This window comes from Homo sapiens, chromosome 3, assembly GCF_000001405.40.
Source record: "Homo sapiens chromosome 3, GRCh38.p14 Primary Assembly".
In the NCBI taxonomy this organism is placed as follows: Eukaryota; Metazoa; Chordata; class Mammalia; order Primates; family Hominidae; genus Homo; species Homo sapiens.
This window is the reverse complement of record NC_000003.12, coordinates 36882307-36898711: the sequence shown is the minus strand read 5'-3', so window position 1 is coordinate 36898711 and position 16405 is coordinate 36882307. Positions and strand designations below refer to the sequence as shown.

The 16405-nt window shown below is 42.9% G+C and overlaps 1 protein-coding gene across 13 annotated transcripts in view; it reads left to right on the top strand.

The window, feature by feature from the left end:
• TRANK1 (tetratricopeptide repeat and ankyrin repeat containing 1) overlaps positions 1–16405 on the top strand; it is a 118926-nt gene that overhangs the window by 47033 nt on the left and 55488 nt on the right. For 12 of the 13 annotated variants that reach the window (XM_017007570.2, NM_014831.3, XM_047449328.1 and 9 more), the window contains 4 exons: positions 2954–3072; positions 5728–5811; positions 6372–6510; positions 8752–8883. In XM_017007570.2, coding sequence (XP_016863059.1) covers positions 2954–3072; positions 5728–5811; positions 6372–6510; positions 8752–8883 — 474 coding nt within the window. The remainder of the gene's footprint in view (positions 1–2953; positions 3073–5727; positions 5812–6371; positions 6511–8751; positions 8884–16405) is intronic. The other variant, XM_047449330.1, reaches the window with a different exon arrangement.

The window sequence follows — 16405 nt, the reverse complement described above, 5'->3', positions numbered from 1 at the left end:
ACCGGGCTAGTTTTTTGTATTTTTAGTAGAGATGAGGTTTCGCCATATTGGCCAGGATGGCCTTAATCTCTTGACCTCGTGATCCGCCCGCCTTGGCCTCCCAAAGTGCTAGGATTACAGGTGTGAGCCACCCTGCCCGGCTGGTTTCAGACTTCTTAAGTGTTTTGTGTTGCTATTCATAGGGGTTTCCGTATTTATACTACTCGCCTGATGTGACTTTTGCTCTTTCCTGTAATTTTTCTTTTTCTTTCTTTTTTTGTTTGAGATGGATTTTCAGTCTTGTTGCCCAGGCTGGAGTGCAATGGCACGATCTTTGCTCACTGCAACCTCTGTCTCCCAGGTTCAAAGGGTCTCCTGCCTCAGCCTCCTGAGTAGCTGGGATTACAGGCGCCTACCACCCCGCCCGGCTAACTTTTTGTATTTTTAGTAGAAATGGGGCTTCACCATGTTGGCCAGGCTGGTCTTAAACTCCTGACCTCAATCCACCTGCCTTGGCCTCCTAAAGTGCTGAGATTACAGGCGTAAGCCACCATGCCTGGACTTTCCTGTACTTTTTCACATGTATTTTTCCAGTCTATTGAGAAAATATTTGTTTGCTATGAAGATAACCTGGAAGGGCCGATGGCGGGTCCTGTGAAAGCTGATAATGGGTGCTCCATGTCAGGGTTGTGAAGCTCAATACCCGGCACTGCAGAATCAGCGGAGGACCCAAGTGTTCAGCCTAGCAGGGAGGGGAAGCTTTTGTGTCACTGCATTAAGTTACTACTCTAATGGCCTGGCCTAAGACATAGCTTTGTTGGTGGCCCAGATCAGGCAAAACCAGAAACTGGTAAAGCACAGTGTAATAAACTTCACTCCTTGGCAGTGATGGTGCAGTCTAAAGTCCTGCCAATACCTAGGCTGTTGTTTTTAAATACGGTGTTTGATCAAATTTAAGTTGCACTAAGATGTGCTATTAATTTATGCTCTGCCAGTGAAAGACAACATTGATTGTAAGACATCCTGATTTCAGAGATGTTAGAATATGAAAAATGGCACATGTTAGAATTTCTGAAAAATGGTCTTTGGTTTTTAAATATGGGGAAACCACAGCTGACAATGGATAGACTGTTATCAATCAAACTGTTCCCATTGCAGTTGTGGGAAAGCAACTTCTGTGGTCTGTAGGTGGAATCTCACAGATTTTGACAAGTTTGGTACAGAGAGGGGACTAGAGTAGTAGCAGGCAGTGGGAAGGAGTTAGAGGCAGGTGCAGCCATGTCCCCTAGACAGGGAAGTGGAAAGTCTCTAGATAGGTGCTGATGGGTCACAGCTCTTCAGTCAGTCTTTTGCCAACAGTAGCCAGGGCTGGCTTCATTTTCTTTCAAACCCAATGACTTGGCCTGCACTTCTCTGCATCTTTTTTTTGAGACGGTGTCTTGCTCTGTGGGCCAGGCTGGAGTGCAGTGGCGCAATCTAGGCTCACTGCAACCTCTGACTCCCAGGTTCAAGCGGTTCTCCTGCCTCAGCCTCCTGAGTAGCTGGGACTACAGGTGTGCACCACCACCACGTCCGGCTAATTTTTGTATTTTTAGTAGAGATGGAGTTTCACTATGTTAGCCAGGCTGGTCTCGAACTCCTAACCTCAGGTGATCCACCTGCCTTGGCCTCCCAAAGTGCTGGGATTACAGCCTTGAGCCACTGCCCCCGGTTTCTCTGCATCTTTTATATTTTTTTTGAGATGGAGTTTCACTCTTTTCGCCCAGGCTGAAGTGCAATGGCGCGATCTCTGCTCACTGCAACCTCCGACTCCTGGGTTCAAGCGATTCTCCTGCCTCAGCCTCCCTAGTAGCTGGTATTACAGGCACTGCCACCACATCCAGCTGATTTTTGTTTTTTTAGTAGAGAAGGGCTTTCACCCTGTTGGCCAGGCTTGTCTCAAATTCCTGACCTCAGGTGATCTGCCCGCCTTGGCCTCCCAAAGTGCTCAGATTACAGGTGTGAGCCACTGCACCCGGCCCTCTGCATCTTTTAAATGTCACTGTTCTGTCAGAAGCCAGGCCGGAGTTATGGGAATTCCAAACAACTGCTTCTTGATGGCTGCCCCTTAAGATAACCTGGGTGGTTTTCATTCTGCCCCCAACCTGAAAGGGGGCAGTTAACAGGACTTCTTAAGATGATGCAGCCAATACTTTACCAAAGTACTCCTTTTTGGAAGGTAAAGAAATTGGCGTCGCCCAGTTTCTAAATTTTGAAAAACATATTTATGGGAAACTTTGTGTCATTTCATATAGTATGCGTTTGTTTTGATATTTACTTATTTTTTGAAATTAATAACCTTGGAAGAGGTGCCAAGTTATTCTGAGTCTTGACCTGTCCCCTTGGACATTCTCATCCATGAATTTGAGAAATATGGTTGGAGGATCACCAGGTGCAATAGGTCGATGGGCCACCAGGTCAGAAGAATGTGTATTGATGACAAGAGTTGGTAGATCTGGGTTCCAGTCTTGTTTCTTGTCATGAACTAACTGCATGATATGCCATGAAACCTATCTTCATTTGTCATAGTTTCTAATGTTTTGGGTAACAATATTTGTCACATTTTTCTTAAAGGAAGTGAGTTTTGTAACTTAAGCTTCCATTTCCTCCTCTATAAGTGGAGATAATAGGCACTTCCTTAGTGGTTTATTTGAGGTATTGAACATAAGCACATATCACTGGGCTTGGCAACTAGAAAGGCAAAGCGAATGTTAATTATCCTGCCTAACTCTTAGGGGATTGATTTTATGATGAACTGAAAATAATTGCCACTTCAACCAATTATAAAGGACTTCATACTACTTTGAAAATGCCTTTCTTTAGGGTATCTTTAATTTACCATTTGTCTATGTGTGAACTTAATTGGAGGACCTTTTCCCAAATGCTGTAGACTTTCCCCACATTAAAATCCCTAAATTATGAAACTTTCTTTTAGGTGACTCCATTGTTTTGCAAAGTTTCTTGCCTTGCTTTGATCATATTTTCACAACTGGATTCCCAACAGAAGTGTGGCAATCTGTAATAGAAAAGTTGGCAAAGAAAGGATTATGGCATGTAAGTAAAAGGAGATGGCTCTCACGGGGAGAGTACATTCTTGATGAAATGATTCCTTTCCATTGGCATTGAGGGATTGTAATTTATTATTTGTTGATCTTGATGCCAGGGTAAATTTTTAACTAGGATATCATTAAAGATGAAAAGTCTTTGAGATAGATTAATTAGCCAGTTTCCATTTATTTTTAAAAATGGGAAAAACGCTTAGATCTGTGTCTCCACTGTCATCAAAGAAATGTAAAGTACAGATGCTAATGGTAATATGGAATGAGAAAAACAAAGCTGTGTGTTCATTTTCACAATCCTTTTTTATACTGCTTTAGCTAGTGTGTTCCCGGATGACCTATCTGGGCTGCTCACAAGGGTTCCCATGTGGTTTTGAGGGGCTGCTAACATTTGGGTAGTGGCTAAGTGAGGTTGTAGGACCTGAACCCAGGGCCAGGAATCCATGGAATGGAGGAGTGAGTGGACTGTGGAGGTCTGGGCTTCAGTGTCACACAGATGTGTCCTTGAATCAGAATCCCCCACTTACTATTTTGGGCTAATTACTTCCCCTTTGAGTCTTATTTCCTCATTTGTAAGTTGCATTATATAAACCTATTTCTTCAGAGTTTTGGTGAGATCAGAAATAATGGACAAGAGCACCTATCAGGTAATGTTTGTGGAAGGTTTACAGTGCCAGGCATTGAGCTGAGGGGTTTTATAATACCTGGCATATTCTAAGTGCCCAGTGAATAGTAGTCGTCATTGGTGATAGGCTATAAGTGCTCATGAGAATGGGCTGGCCAAGCTACGAATTTGGTTAGAACAGCCCTCCTGGGCTTTCAAAAGCTGGGCAGTCCAGAAAAGTCACCAAAAACAAGGGCAACCTATTAAGGACTCCTGATCCTAGCAGGTTGGATGACTTTAGAATAGAGAATTCTTAAATTTTGGGCAAGGTAATGGATTCTGTTGGAAATCGAATGAAATCTGTGGGGCTCTCTTGTCATGCACTGACAATTATGTGTATAGTTTCAGGGGGTTCATGGGAAACCTCCTGGAGTCCAGCCATGGGCTCCCTGAAGCTTACCCCTGTATTAAAAAATCTTGGGAGGGCAGGCAGCAGGGTTGAGGAAGGCAGACTGAACTCTTGGGGAACCAGTAGTCAGAAATCCAGGGTCCCATTAAAAGACATTTGAGATATTTTCTCCTGGGATAAGGTAGCTGGCCTAAGAGATTTATAAGGATCCTTCCAGCTTTATTTTTTAAAAAGTTTTGAAATTCTGTGATTCCAAGTGCTAGGGTAGATCTGTGAGCAGGAGGCCTTAGGCCTCATTAGCAGGAAGATAGTTTAATTTACTGCACTCAGGGAAAGAACCTTGTCCTCTCTTCCCAGTGTGGGGTGGATATGAATAGAGCTCCATGGCCTAGGCAGAGAATGAGAGAATGGGAGACAGGCAACTCCTAATAGATTATTATCCCAGCCAGTCAAGGGAGGGCCCAGGAATCCAGCCCAAGTGGCAGGTCCAACATCCTACCTGCAGTGAGGCTCTGGTAATTCCCAAATACTGCAGACAGAAGCATCTTTTAAAAGGCCAGCAATCTGCCCACTAGAATGCTGAACTTATCATGTGGGGTTGAGTGTGGGCAGCGAGGCTTGTTTAGGGCAAAAAGTTAAGAATGGGCATCACAGAGGTTGCAGTGAGCTGAGATTGCACCACTGCACTCTAGCCAGGGCAACAAGAGTGAGACTCTGTCTCAAAAAAAAAAAAAGAATGGGTATCAATCTGAAAGAAACTAGAAGTGAGATGTGGCCATGGGCTCAGTTCCTGTGGTCCTAAGTCCACTGGCAAAAGCCATACATGAGAGAGGCTGGAGCTGAGACTGGGTCTCCAGTCATGGTCATAACAGAGCCGGGAATTCTTAGATCTGTTAGCATACCTGAATGATCTCAGTAGGGGCTTCTCAAGATGTGCTGTGAGACCTGTGAAAACTGGCTTAACTTCTCTGGGATTTAGTCTCTTCAGCAACTTTAGATAGGGTCAGTAGTTTAACAACTGGGTCTCTGAAAAGAAAAGGTCCCGATTTGTAGCATTTGCTAACTTTGGTAGTATAAATACTCTCACCATGGCCAATTTCCAGCTACTAATATGACATACAAGACTTGGAGTTAGGAGGAGATGTGCATCATCAACTCAGTAGCTGATAGGAGCCGGCTGCAGCACACCATTGACAGGGTCTAATGGGCTCCAAGTACTTGGGGCTTTTAAAACGCTGATGTGAGGAATAATTGATTGGGATGGGATATTTCTAAAGGATTTGAGTCTTCCACTTGCTAAGCCTTAAGAACTTGGCAGGGAATTACTCTTTTTTTTTTGTAATCTCATTGCAACTATGCTGTGAAATGCTACATGACATCATCTGCTCCTGTCCTCAGCAGGCTTTGAGGAAGTGTGGAGGGGCCTTAGTCCTCAGCAGGAACAGGAAGTTGGCTAGACAGAGACTTTAATTGTCACAGCAAATAGCTGAAAAACTTGGCAAGCACTTTAAAAAAAGACAAGGCTAGAGAGTGGTTTTTTTTTATTTGCTTGTTTTAAAGCTTAAAATAACTTTTTTGCTTTAATAACCTATGTGGAGAACATTATTATTCCAGCCTTTTCTGTCTTCTCCCACCAGTCATTTCTGCTTCTGTCAGCAAAAAAAGACCGATTACCAAGAAATATTCATGTCCCAGAGTTATCACTGAAAAGTCTCTTTGAGGTAAGGTGATATATATATCTATATATATCTATATATATATATATATATGTTTTGTTTTGTTTTGTTTTGTTTTGAGACTGAGTCTCGCCCTTTCGCCCAGGCTGGAGTGCAGTGGCATGATAGCTCACTGTAACCTCCTCCTCCTGGGTTGAAGCAATTCTCCCTGCCTCAGCCTCCCGAATAGCTGGGATTACAGGCGCCTACCACAGTGCCCGGCTAATTGTTGTATTTTTTGGTAAAGATGGGGTTTCGCCATGTTGGCCTGGCTGGTCTTGAACTCCTGACCTCAGGTGATCGGCCACCTTGGCCTCCCAAAGTGCTGGGATTATAGGCGTGAATCACTGCGCCTCGCAAGGCGATTTCTTGAAACATACACTTCCTTGTGTCTTGTACTTTCTCCTTCAGCTGCCTTACCACAAATTTGTTATTTATAATAATCCTAGGCTTGGACCACAGCTAATCCAAGTTTTACTGATTCCATACTTTATGGGTAAAGGAGTTTGAAGCTTCATATTGATTAGTGACTTCCATAATTTGTCCTGTGTGTTTTTTTTCCCCAGAAATACGTTTTCATTGGACTTTATGAGAAGATGGAACAAGTGCCCAAGTTAGTCCAGTGGCTCATCTCCATTGGTGCAAGTGTTGAGACTATAGGACCGTATCCCCTTCATGCCCTCATGCGACTCTGTATCCAAGCCAGTGAGTCTTCTCCCAGTTTTCCACCCTCCAAGCTGCCCTTCTAGCCTAGTTCTGGAACTCTGTTGAGCTCAAGTGAAACTAGAATTAAGCCACTTGAATGCAGACCATTTGAATATTCAAATGATCTGATTATTCAAATGAATGAAGCAGCAGGAAAATAGTATCATTTTTATCTTTCCTGGCACCTAGTAGCTGCAGGAGGTCCAAACGGAAAGGATTCTGTGACTCTAGGCAGATCCTGGCAGGAGGATGGAGCCCTGGGACCCATGGAAGGGACTTAGGACAGACAGCTGTTGCTGGGCAACACTCCCAGGAGACCTGCAGAGTTTCCTCCTTCCGGCATAGGCAGCTTTGGTCTATTTCTCTCGGTTCATTTTCACTCTAGGGTTGACGGCTGTGTTGTGGGACACAGAACATAGTCCCTTGGCTGGGGGTATCCCAAGGGAGACATGAGCTGTTGCTGATACAGTTTGGCTGTGCTTCTTTTAAAGGACTGCTATTTTCATGAAATTCTTTTTTAAGCTTTGCCATCTGGTTATAGGCTTTAACTTTAAAAATATTTTTATTTTATCATTAACACACACATATGCACACACTCACACTTTAGATAGAAGTTTGTTTTTCTTTCCAAGCACACGTAGCAGCACTGTGGGACATTCACCCATAGCAGTTTAGTGCCAGAAAGGGCCGAGAGAACTTGTCTAGTCTACCTCTTGTAGGCTGTATCATCTCCCCAGGAATGGGGGTGTGGGAGGTGGCCATGGGCTTGAGGCCTGGGACCCCTGTCTTTGCTTTAGCCAGATTTGTCCTGGTGTTATTCATTTCATATAGTGGGGAATTTATAAGAGATTTTTTTTTTGAGACTGAGTCTCACTCCATTGCCCAGGCTGGGGGAGTGCAGTGACGTGATATTGGCTCACTGCAGCCTTTGCCTCCTGGGTTCAGGCGATTCCCCTGCGTCAGCCCCCCGAGTATCTGGGATTACAGGCCCCCGCCACCACGCCTGGCTAATTTTTGTGTTTTTAGTAGACATGGGGTTTCACCATGTTGGCCAGGCTGGTCTCAAACTCCTGATCTCAAGTGATCCACCCGCCTTAGCCTCCCAAAGTGCTGGGATTACAGGCGTGAGCCCCACCATGCCTGGCCAAGAGATTTTATTCTTACACAGAGATTGGTAGATAAAACATTTAAAAGTAAAGCCTGATTGAAAGCTACGCAATCTAATCCTCCCAGTTTCAAGTGAGGAAACTGGAATGCAGAGAAGCGTGGCTCTGGTTATGAATGTCATGATTCCCCATTGTGTCTACTTTTAAGTTAGTTCCTGTGATTATAGGTGGTATCAGTAAGATTGAGCCTTCAAGGTGGTACGTTTTAATCATTGATTTGTTTCTCAGAGAACTCTGACATGGTGACAAATTGGCATCCAAAGAGTTGGCAGAGGTGCGTGGCTTTCCTAGATCTCAGGAACTCCAAGGAAGGAGTCTGGGAAAAGAATTCAATATATATGTCTTATTGATAGTAATGTAGTAGGGTAATCTTATCAGAGATACTGGCTTGATTATTAAAGTGGAGGCTGTTGTGCCTCACCCAGATCCTCTTTGCCACCAACCCCCTCACCCCCACCTGTTGTCAATGTTAGCTGCTAACAACCCACAGCTGGCCCCTTGGGCAGAGAGTTGCTCTTTGTCAACAGAAACCACTTCCCAGAGAGGTTCTCTCTGGACCTTGCCTCTCCCTGAGTGCATTCTGTAGCTCTTGATTGACTGACATGGGGATTCAAAAGGCCAGCCCCAGTGCCTCAAGGTGGCTCCAGGCTGTGGTGCATTCCTGCTGCAGGGCTGCTCATGAGGTCAGGCTGGAGTGACCCTACTAGGATCACAACCTTGCTTAGCTGCTTCCCCTACCTGTCCTGCCTCCCTTGCTCTCTCTCATGCTATCTCTTGCTCAGTCACATGTATAAGAATCCCTGTCTCAGGCTTCTAGGGAACCTGACCTACGATGATTATGGGTAGCTTTCTATAACTCATCCTCTCACTTGACAAACGCCTGCATCTCCCCACACCTGTTTGTGGTGAGTGGAAACGTATGTTGGATTCCTCATTTGGTTACCTTAGCGTGGTCCACACTGACTTGCTTTGCTGATTTTCTTTCTTTCTTTTTAATCTATTGCTTCTGCACAAATTAACTTTGCTGACTTTCTGTATGTGGAAAACATTAGTAAGTCATTTTAATTCCCTTCAGGAGAAAACCATCTTTTCCGGTGGTTAATGGATCACAAGCCCGAGTGGAAAGGCCGCATTAACCAGAAGGATGGGGATGGCTGCACTGTCCTGCACGTCGTCGCTGCCCACTCCCCAGGATACCTCGTTAAGCGTGAGTAGTGGCATTACCCAGAGGGTGCGCTGTGGCTGGCTGGTGTCAGGCTTTGAGGACCCACACCACCGACTGCCTTGTTTTACCCATTCTATCCCTAGCTGGCTCAGAGGGCTAAACTTCCCCTTGAACTAAACTTGATTTTGGTGGGTGGGTGGGTAAGCTGTAATGCAGAAAGAAGGTGAGGTGAGAGAAAGAAGAATTGCTGGGCTTCAGGAGCTCTTTCACCTTGAAATGGCTTCTGTGGGGTTGAATCATTCAAGAACATGGGCTCCTGGCTGCCTTTGTTCCCTCCTTCATCACATGGTTACTCATTTTATTTTATGCCAAATCTGTGTTAGCTGGTAGAGAGGAATTGTGAACTGAACTGCACATGGTTCTGCCTTCATGGCACTTAGAATCTAACACAGGGATTGCATCTTCCCATACCTGCTGGGGCCAGACTAGGCACATGAGCGAGTGAGGCTTGCACATGCAAGGAAAAGCTGGTTCTTCTGACACCGGTGCACCATGTTAGCCTGGGAAGCAGGAAGGCTGTGTTCACTCTCTCAGAGCTCTCTGATGTCACTCATTTTTCTTGAAACTCTCAGACCCCTCAGTTTTTGCTTTCTGTTTGGGATAGAGAAGAACATACAGTGGACTCTCAGCCTCTGTGGAAGGGAGGTGACAGGGAGTGGTGAGGAGCTTGTGCCTCGTGCTGCTGCAGCCTGGAGCTGATCATAGGAACCAGGCTGGGCTGTCATCTTCTCATGGCAAGAGATGTTGGACATCTGGATTTTTTTTGAGATGGAGTCTCACTCTGTCGCCCAGGCTGGAGTGCAGTGGCACAATCTTGGCTCACTGCAACCTCCGCTTCCCAGGTTCAAGGGATTCTCCTGCCTCAGCCTCTCCTGAGTAGTTGGGATTACAGGCAAACACCGCCATGCCCAGCTAATTTTTGTAACTTTAGTAGCTCTGTTGGCCAGGCTGTTCTTGAACTCCTGACCTCAAGTGATCCACCTGCCTCGGCCTCCCAAAGTACTGGGATACAGGCATGAGCTACCATGCCTGGCCAGAAATCTGGATTTTTTAAAACTGTGGAATCTTGTGATTTTTCAGCTGTCTGCTCAGATTTAAACATGCCTGTTAACTAGAACCAGCCTGAAGGCCTCCTTTTGGGGACTTCTGGTCTGGTGGGTTACTCGTAGGAAACTGCAGTTTCCTCTCTTCAGCATCTCTCAGGAGGAGCCCAGCGAGGCTTGTTTCTCTAATGTCATTCCCACTGAACTGGGACCTAGGAACCTATATCTAGGGAAACAAAGGAGAAGGGGTCTATGGATTTTTGAGCTTTATTGAAATATTATTCATATACTATATAATTTACCTGTTTAAAGTGTACAGTTAAATGCTTTTTGATCTATTCAGAGTTGAGCAAGTAACATCACAATACATTTTAGAACATTTTTATCCTAAAAAGAAACCCCACATCCATTAGCAGTCATTCTGTTTCTCCCATCTCCAAGCCCTAAGCAATCACCACTTTTTGTCTCTATGGATTTGCCTATTCTGGATATTTCATGTAACTGGAATCATAGAATATAAGGCCTTTTGTGACTGGCTTCTTTCACCAGCATATTTTCAAGGTTTATCCGTGTTGTAGAATGAATCAATACTTAATTCCTTTTTATTGCCAAATAATAGTCTATTGTATAAATATACCACATTTTGTTTATTCATTCTTCAGTTGATGGGCGTTTGGGTTGTTTCCACTTTCTGGCTATTATGAATAATGCTGCTGTAAATATTTGTGTACAGGGCATTTGTTTTCATTTTTCCCAGCTAGATACCCAGGAGTAGAATTGCCGGATCATATGGTAACACTATGTTTAACCTTTTGAGGAACTGCCAGACTGTTTCCCAAAGTGGCTGTACCATTTTACAGTGCCACCAGCAGTGTATGACGATTCCAGCTTCTTCACATCCTAACCCTTGTTATTTATTATCTGTTCTTTTGATTTTTCTGTGTTTTAGTCCCTTCTCAAAGACAGTGATATTCTGGCAAACAACTAGCTCTTCAAGACAGAAGCTCAGAATTGTAGCATTTCTTGAGTTCCTTGGTATAATCAGGGGTGTCTGATCTTTTGGCTTCCCTGGGCCACATTGGAATAAGAATTGTCTTGGGCCACACATAAAATACAGTAACGCTAACGATGGCTGATGAGCTTAAAAATAAAAGAAGGTCCGTGCACAAATCTCACAATGTTTTAAGAAAATTTACGAATTTGTGTGGGCCATGGGTTGGACCAGCTTGGAAATACTCCCATGGTGGCATAATTCATGGTACCAATGTGATGTCATGCAACACAGAGTTGGGAAGAGATGTGTGGTGGGACGTTATTATATTTTATTTTTAGTATACAGATACATTTTAAGATAGATGTAAAGAAACCTCATCATAGATAATAGCAAAATGTAGTAAAAATTATTAGGAAGTGATGGGTTTTGTTTGTCATATAATTTTTTATTTGAATTTTTATCAACCAGCTTGCAACATTTCTGGACATTAAACAATTGGCTCTTGTGAACTGATATGAACTGGGTCTTAGCATACCACTGTGCTAAAGCTAACATTAGCCTAGTAATTTATGGTTAAAGAATGTGCCACATCAATCATTGTGCCCTCTTTACGTATCTCTACCTTGCAAATCTTCAATAAAAAAATAGTTCCTGTCTGACTCTTTGATTTACAAAAAACACATCTCCAGGTATCCTGACATCCATGTGGCATAGTAGCATGCGCCTGTAGTCCCAGCTACTCGGGAGGCTGAGGTAGGAGAATGGCTTGAACCCAGGAAGCGGAACTTCCAGTGAGCTGAGATTGCGCCACTGCACAACAGCCTGGGCAACAGAGCGAGACTCTGTCTCAAAAAAAAAAAAAAAAAAAATCCAACAAAAAATGTAGGTGGAAGGAAGAAAAATTTTAAATCAACATTAATTAAAGACCATAGTAATACCTGTAGCTTTCAAGATCTACCTCAGCCTCCCAAGTAGCTGGGAGTACAGATGCGTGCTACTATGCCCGGCTAATTTATTGTATTTTTAGTAAAGATGGGGTTTCACCACGTTAGCCAGGATGGTCTCGATCTCCTGACCTTGTGATCCGCCAGCCTCAGCCTCCCAAAGTGCTGGGATTACAGGCATGAGCCACCGTGCCAGGCCATTTTTCTCTTTATTTTTTGTTTTGTACTGTCTTTGAAATCCAGCATGTTTCACTCTTTTCACCACACCTCATCATGCATTTCAAGTGCTCTATAGCCATATGTGGCTTACACTCTAAACTGTATGTGGCTTAGAATAACAATTTTATACTATTTCTTATAAACACAGAAACCCTTTCAACTTTCTGAAAGTTGGGAGGATAAAACGTAAAGAGAGGGCTGGCTGGGTGTGGTGGCTCATGCCTGTAATCCTAGCACTTTGGGGGAGGCTAAGGTGGGTGGATCACTTGAGACCAGAAATTTGAGACCAGCCTGGGCCACATGGCAAAATTAACTGGGAGTGGTGGTGGGCACCTGTAGTCCCAGTTACTTGGGAGGCTGAGGCAGGAGAATCGCTTGAACTTGGGAGGCGGAGGTTGAAGTGAGCTAAGATTGTGCCACTGCATTCCAGCCTGGGCAACAGAGCAAGTACTTGTCTCAAAAAAAAAAAAAAAAAAAAAAACAACAACAACAAAAAAAGAAGGGCCTTTTCTTCCTTCAATTAGAGATGTCAACATAGGCTGCCACTATGACCTCCAACGAATGAGGCTTCTCAACTCTCACAGGCTCCTTCTTCTTCTGCTTTCTCCCATACCCTCTTCATCTTCTTTTTCATCAGGGAATATTTTTAAAAATGTTTTATTTTGAACTAATTTTAGACTTATAGAAAAGTTACAAAAATGGTTCAGAGATTTTCTGTACTCCCCTCACCCAGCCTCCACATAAAGTTAGCATGCTGTATAATCAAAGTTTAGGCCAGCACAGTGCCTCCTGCCTGTAATCCCAGCACTATGGGAGGCCAAGATAGGAGGATCACTTGAACCCAGGAGTTCGAGACCAGCCTGGGCAACATAGTGAGAGCCTGTCTCTATAAAAATAAACATAAAAAAATTAGCTGGGTGTGGTGGCACAGGCCTGTAGTCCTAGCTACTCAGGAGGCTGAGATGGGAGGATGGCTTGAGCCCAGGAGTTTGAGCCTGCAGTGAACTACGATCGTGCTACTGCATTCAGCCCAGTCAGTTGACTGAGACCCTGTCTCTAAAAAATAATATACAGACCTCATATGAGTTTCGCTAGCTTTTTCACTAACGTACCTTTTCTGTTCCAGGATCCCACATTGCATTTAGTTTTCATGTCTCCTTAGTGTTCTGTAGTCTGTGACCATTCCTCAGTCTTTCCTTGCCTTTTGTTACCTTGACCCTTTCAGAGAGTAGTAGTCAGTTATTTGGTAGACTATCTATCAATTTTGGTTTGTTTGATATTTTGTTATGACTGGAATGAAGTTATGTGTTTTTGGTGAGAATATTACAGAAATGATTTTGTATCCTCAGTGAATCGTACCAAGGGGTTCATGATGTCAATACTTCTTATCATGTTAACCTTGATTATTTGATTATTTGTTAACCTTGATTATTTGTGATGTGTGGGGCTTCTCCACTGTAAAATTACTATCTTTTCTTTTGTAGTTAATGAGTATCTTGGAGGGGATACTTTGAAACTGCATATACCCTGTTTCTTCTCAAACTTCTGCCCACCAATTTTGGTATCTATTGGTAGATCTTGACAGCTACAGGTATTACTATGGTCTTTGATTAACATTAATTTAAAATTTTTCTTCCTTCTGTCTACATTTATTGTTTAATTTTTTTTTTTTTTTTTCTGAGACAGAGTCTTGCTCTGTCTCCAGGCTGGAGTGCAGTGGCGCGATCTCAGCTCACTGCAGCCTCCGCCTCCCGGGTTCAAGCGATTCTCCTGCCTCAGCCTCATGAGTAGCTGGGATTACAGGTGTGTGCCACCATGCTCAGCTAATTTTTGTGTTTTTAGTAGAGACAGGGTTTCACCATGTTGGCCAGGGTGGTCTCAATCTCTTGGCCTCACGTGATTCACCTGCCTGGGCCTCCCAAAGTGCTGTGATCACAGGCGTGAGCCACTACGCCTGGCCTATTGCTTGGAATTCTTATGTAATGAAGAGCTGTTCCTTCTCCCTGTATATTCAATTATATAATGATTTCAGTATGGACTCGGATGTTTATTTTATTCTATGGGATAAAATCCAATGGTATGATTATTTATTTTGTTGCTAACGTTGCTCCAGCTTTAGCCATAAGGCACTCCTTCAGACTGGCTCCTGTGTTCCTTCAAAAAGTCCCCTTGAGCACTTCCTTACTTTCAGACACCACAAGGTGTTCCAGGTTCATATTGCGTGGTCCCTGTCCCAGCCCTGGAATCAACCACTTCTCTAAGGATCCCTGGTTCCTATTGGAGAATGTTAGAGGAAACAAGATCTGGTACTAGGTATGCCATTGCGAAGCGGAGTGTCATTGTTTCTAGGACTTTTTGGCAGATAAGAGCTAGGACATACATGTATGTGCACTAACCGATGATACTACATCTGTATTATTGTATCTCTCTGCATATGTCTATGTTAAAAACCATGAGTTTATACTGATATCTCTGATTCCAGTCCAAACACCATGATCATTCAGCCCTTTTTATTTGTAATATTGTTCATCTACAATATATTTACTTATTCAGTCTATGAATTTCAGACTAGGTAACCCATAATACCTCTGTGAGAAACACATTTACTGACTAGATTTATATTCACTTTATGTTCATTTATATTCAGTGTTTTTTGTCTTTAGCCTTAGAGCATCCTGTTAAGATACTGGTAGTTCTTTTCTTTCCCACTCCCTTTACCATGGTTTTGTTAGTAATTTGTAGGACACTCAAACTCATTTTTTTAGTGTTTGTATTCCATTTTAGGATTTGCCCCACATCCTGTTTGATTTTGTTTATATTTTGGGTATATGAAGGGCATGTGAAATATTACCATGGTTCTAGGAGTCAGAACTTTACAAAAGATAGGCTTAAAGAAATGTCACTTCCGTCTCATCCTTGCACCCTGGCCATTTCCATTTCCTCCTCCTTTCTGCCGCCTGCCCATCCAGCCTTATAGATAATCAGTTTCTTTAATTTCAGGCCTATTCTTTCTGGATTTCTTTTGCAGCAATGAACACACACATGCTATTTTCTTATAGCTCCCTTTTTTTTTTTTGCATGAAGAGTTACATTATATAGATACTCTTTGGCACGTTTTCTTTTTTCTTTCTTCTCTTTTCTTTTCTCTGCGTTTTTTTTTTTTTTTGAGACAGAGTCTTACTCTATCACCCAGTCTGGAATGCAGTGGTGCAGTCTTGGCTCACTGCAGCCTCACCCACCCGGGCTCAAGCGATCCTACCACCTCAGCCTCCTGAGTAGCTAAGACTAGACATGTGCTACCATGCCCCACTATTTTTTTTGCTGTTGTTGTTGGTAGAGACAGAGTTTTGCCATGTTTTCCAGGTTGGTCTCAAACTCCTGGGCTCAAGTGATCTGCCTGCCTTGGTCTCACAAAATGCTGAGATTACAGGCATGAGCCATTGCACCTTGCCTGATTTTTTTCACTGAGAGTATGTCCTGGAAATCACTCCATATTAATTCATATGTATAAATGCTTATGTAGTTTTGTTAGATATTATCAACTTTTCATCTAGGAGAGGGTTGTACCAATTTGCGTTACCACCGACAATGTATGAGGGTGCTTCTCTCACAACAGTCTCACCAGTAGAATTTGTTGTCTTATTTTAAAAGGTTTTCTGGTCCAATAGGTGAGAATTGTTCTTCCAGTATCGTTTTAATTTGCATTTCTCTAATTATGTGTGAGGTTGAACTTTTAAGAATGTGTTTAAGAATCACTTTAATATCTTTTACTATGAATTATATGTTCATGTCTCTTTCCCATTTTTCTTTATGGTTTTTGGTCCTTTGTCCTCAATTTTTAAGAATTCTTCGCTCATTAGCTCTTGTCTGTGGTATATACTGCAATTATTTTCTCCCGGTTTGTCAGTTGTCTTCTGACTTTGTTGTTTTTTGTCATGCAATTTGGTTTTCTTTTTATGTAGTCAGATTTATCAATCTATTGTTTATTGCCCCCAGATTTGGAGTTAACAAAGTCTTTCCTTACACCAAAGTTAAAGAAGAATTCACCTGTATTTTCTTCAGGTGCCTGTAGTGTTTCATTTTTTTACATTTAGATTCTTGGTCCATTGTAGTTTATTATAAGAATCTAGCTTTACTTTTTTTTCCAAATAATTACCTATTTGTCTCTGCACTATTTATTTAAAAGTCTGTCTTAACCTCAGTAATTGGAGATGTCACTAATGCTGAACTTCCTGTTCTATTCTGTTTATCTCTTTGCCTATTCATGTGTTGTAGGAGTCTTTGAATCACCTTTCTAAAAACCA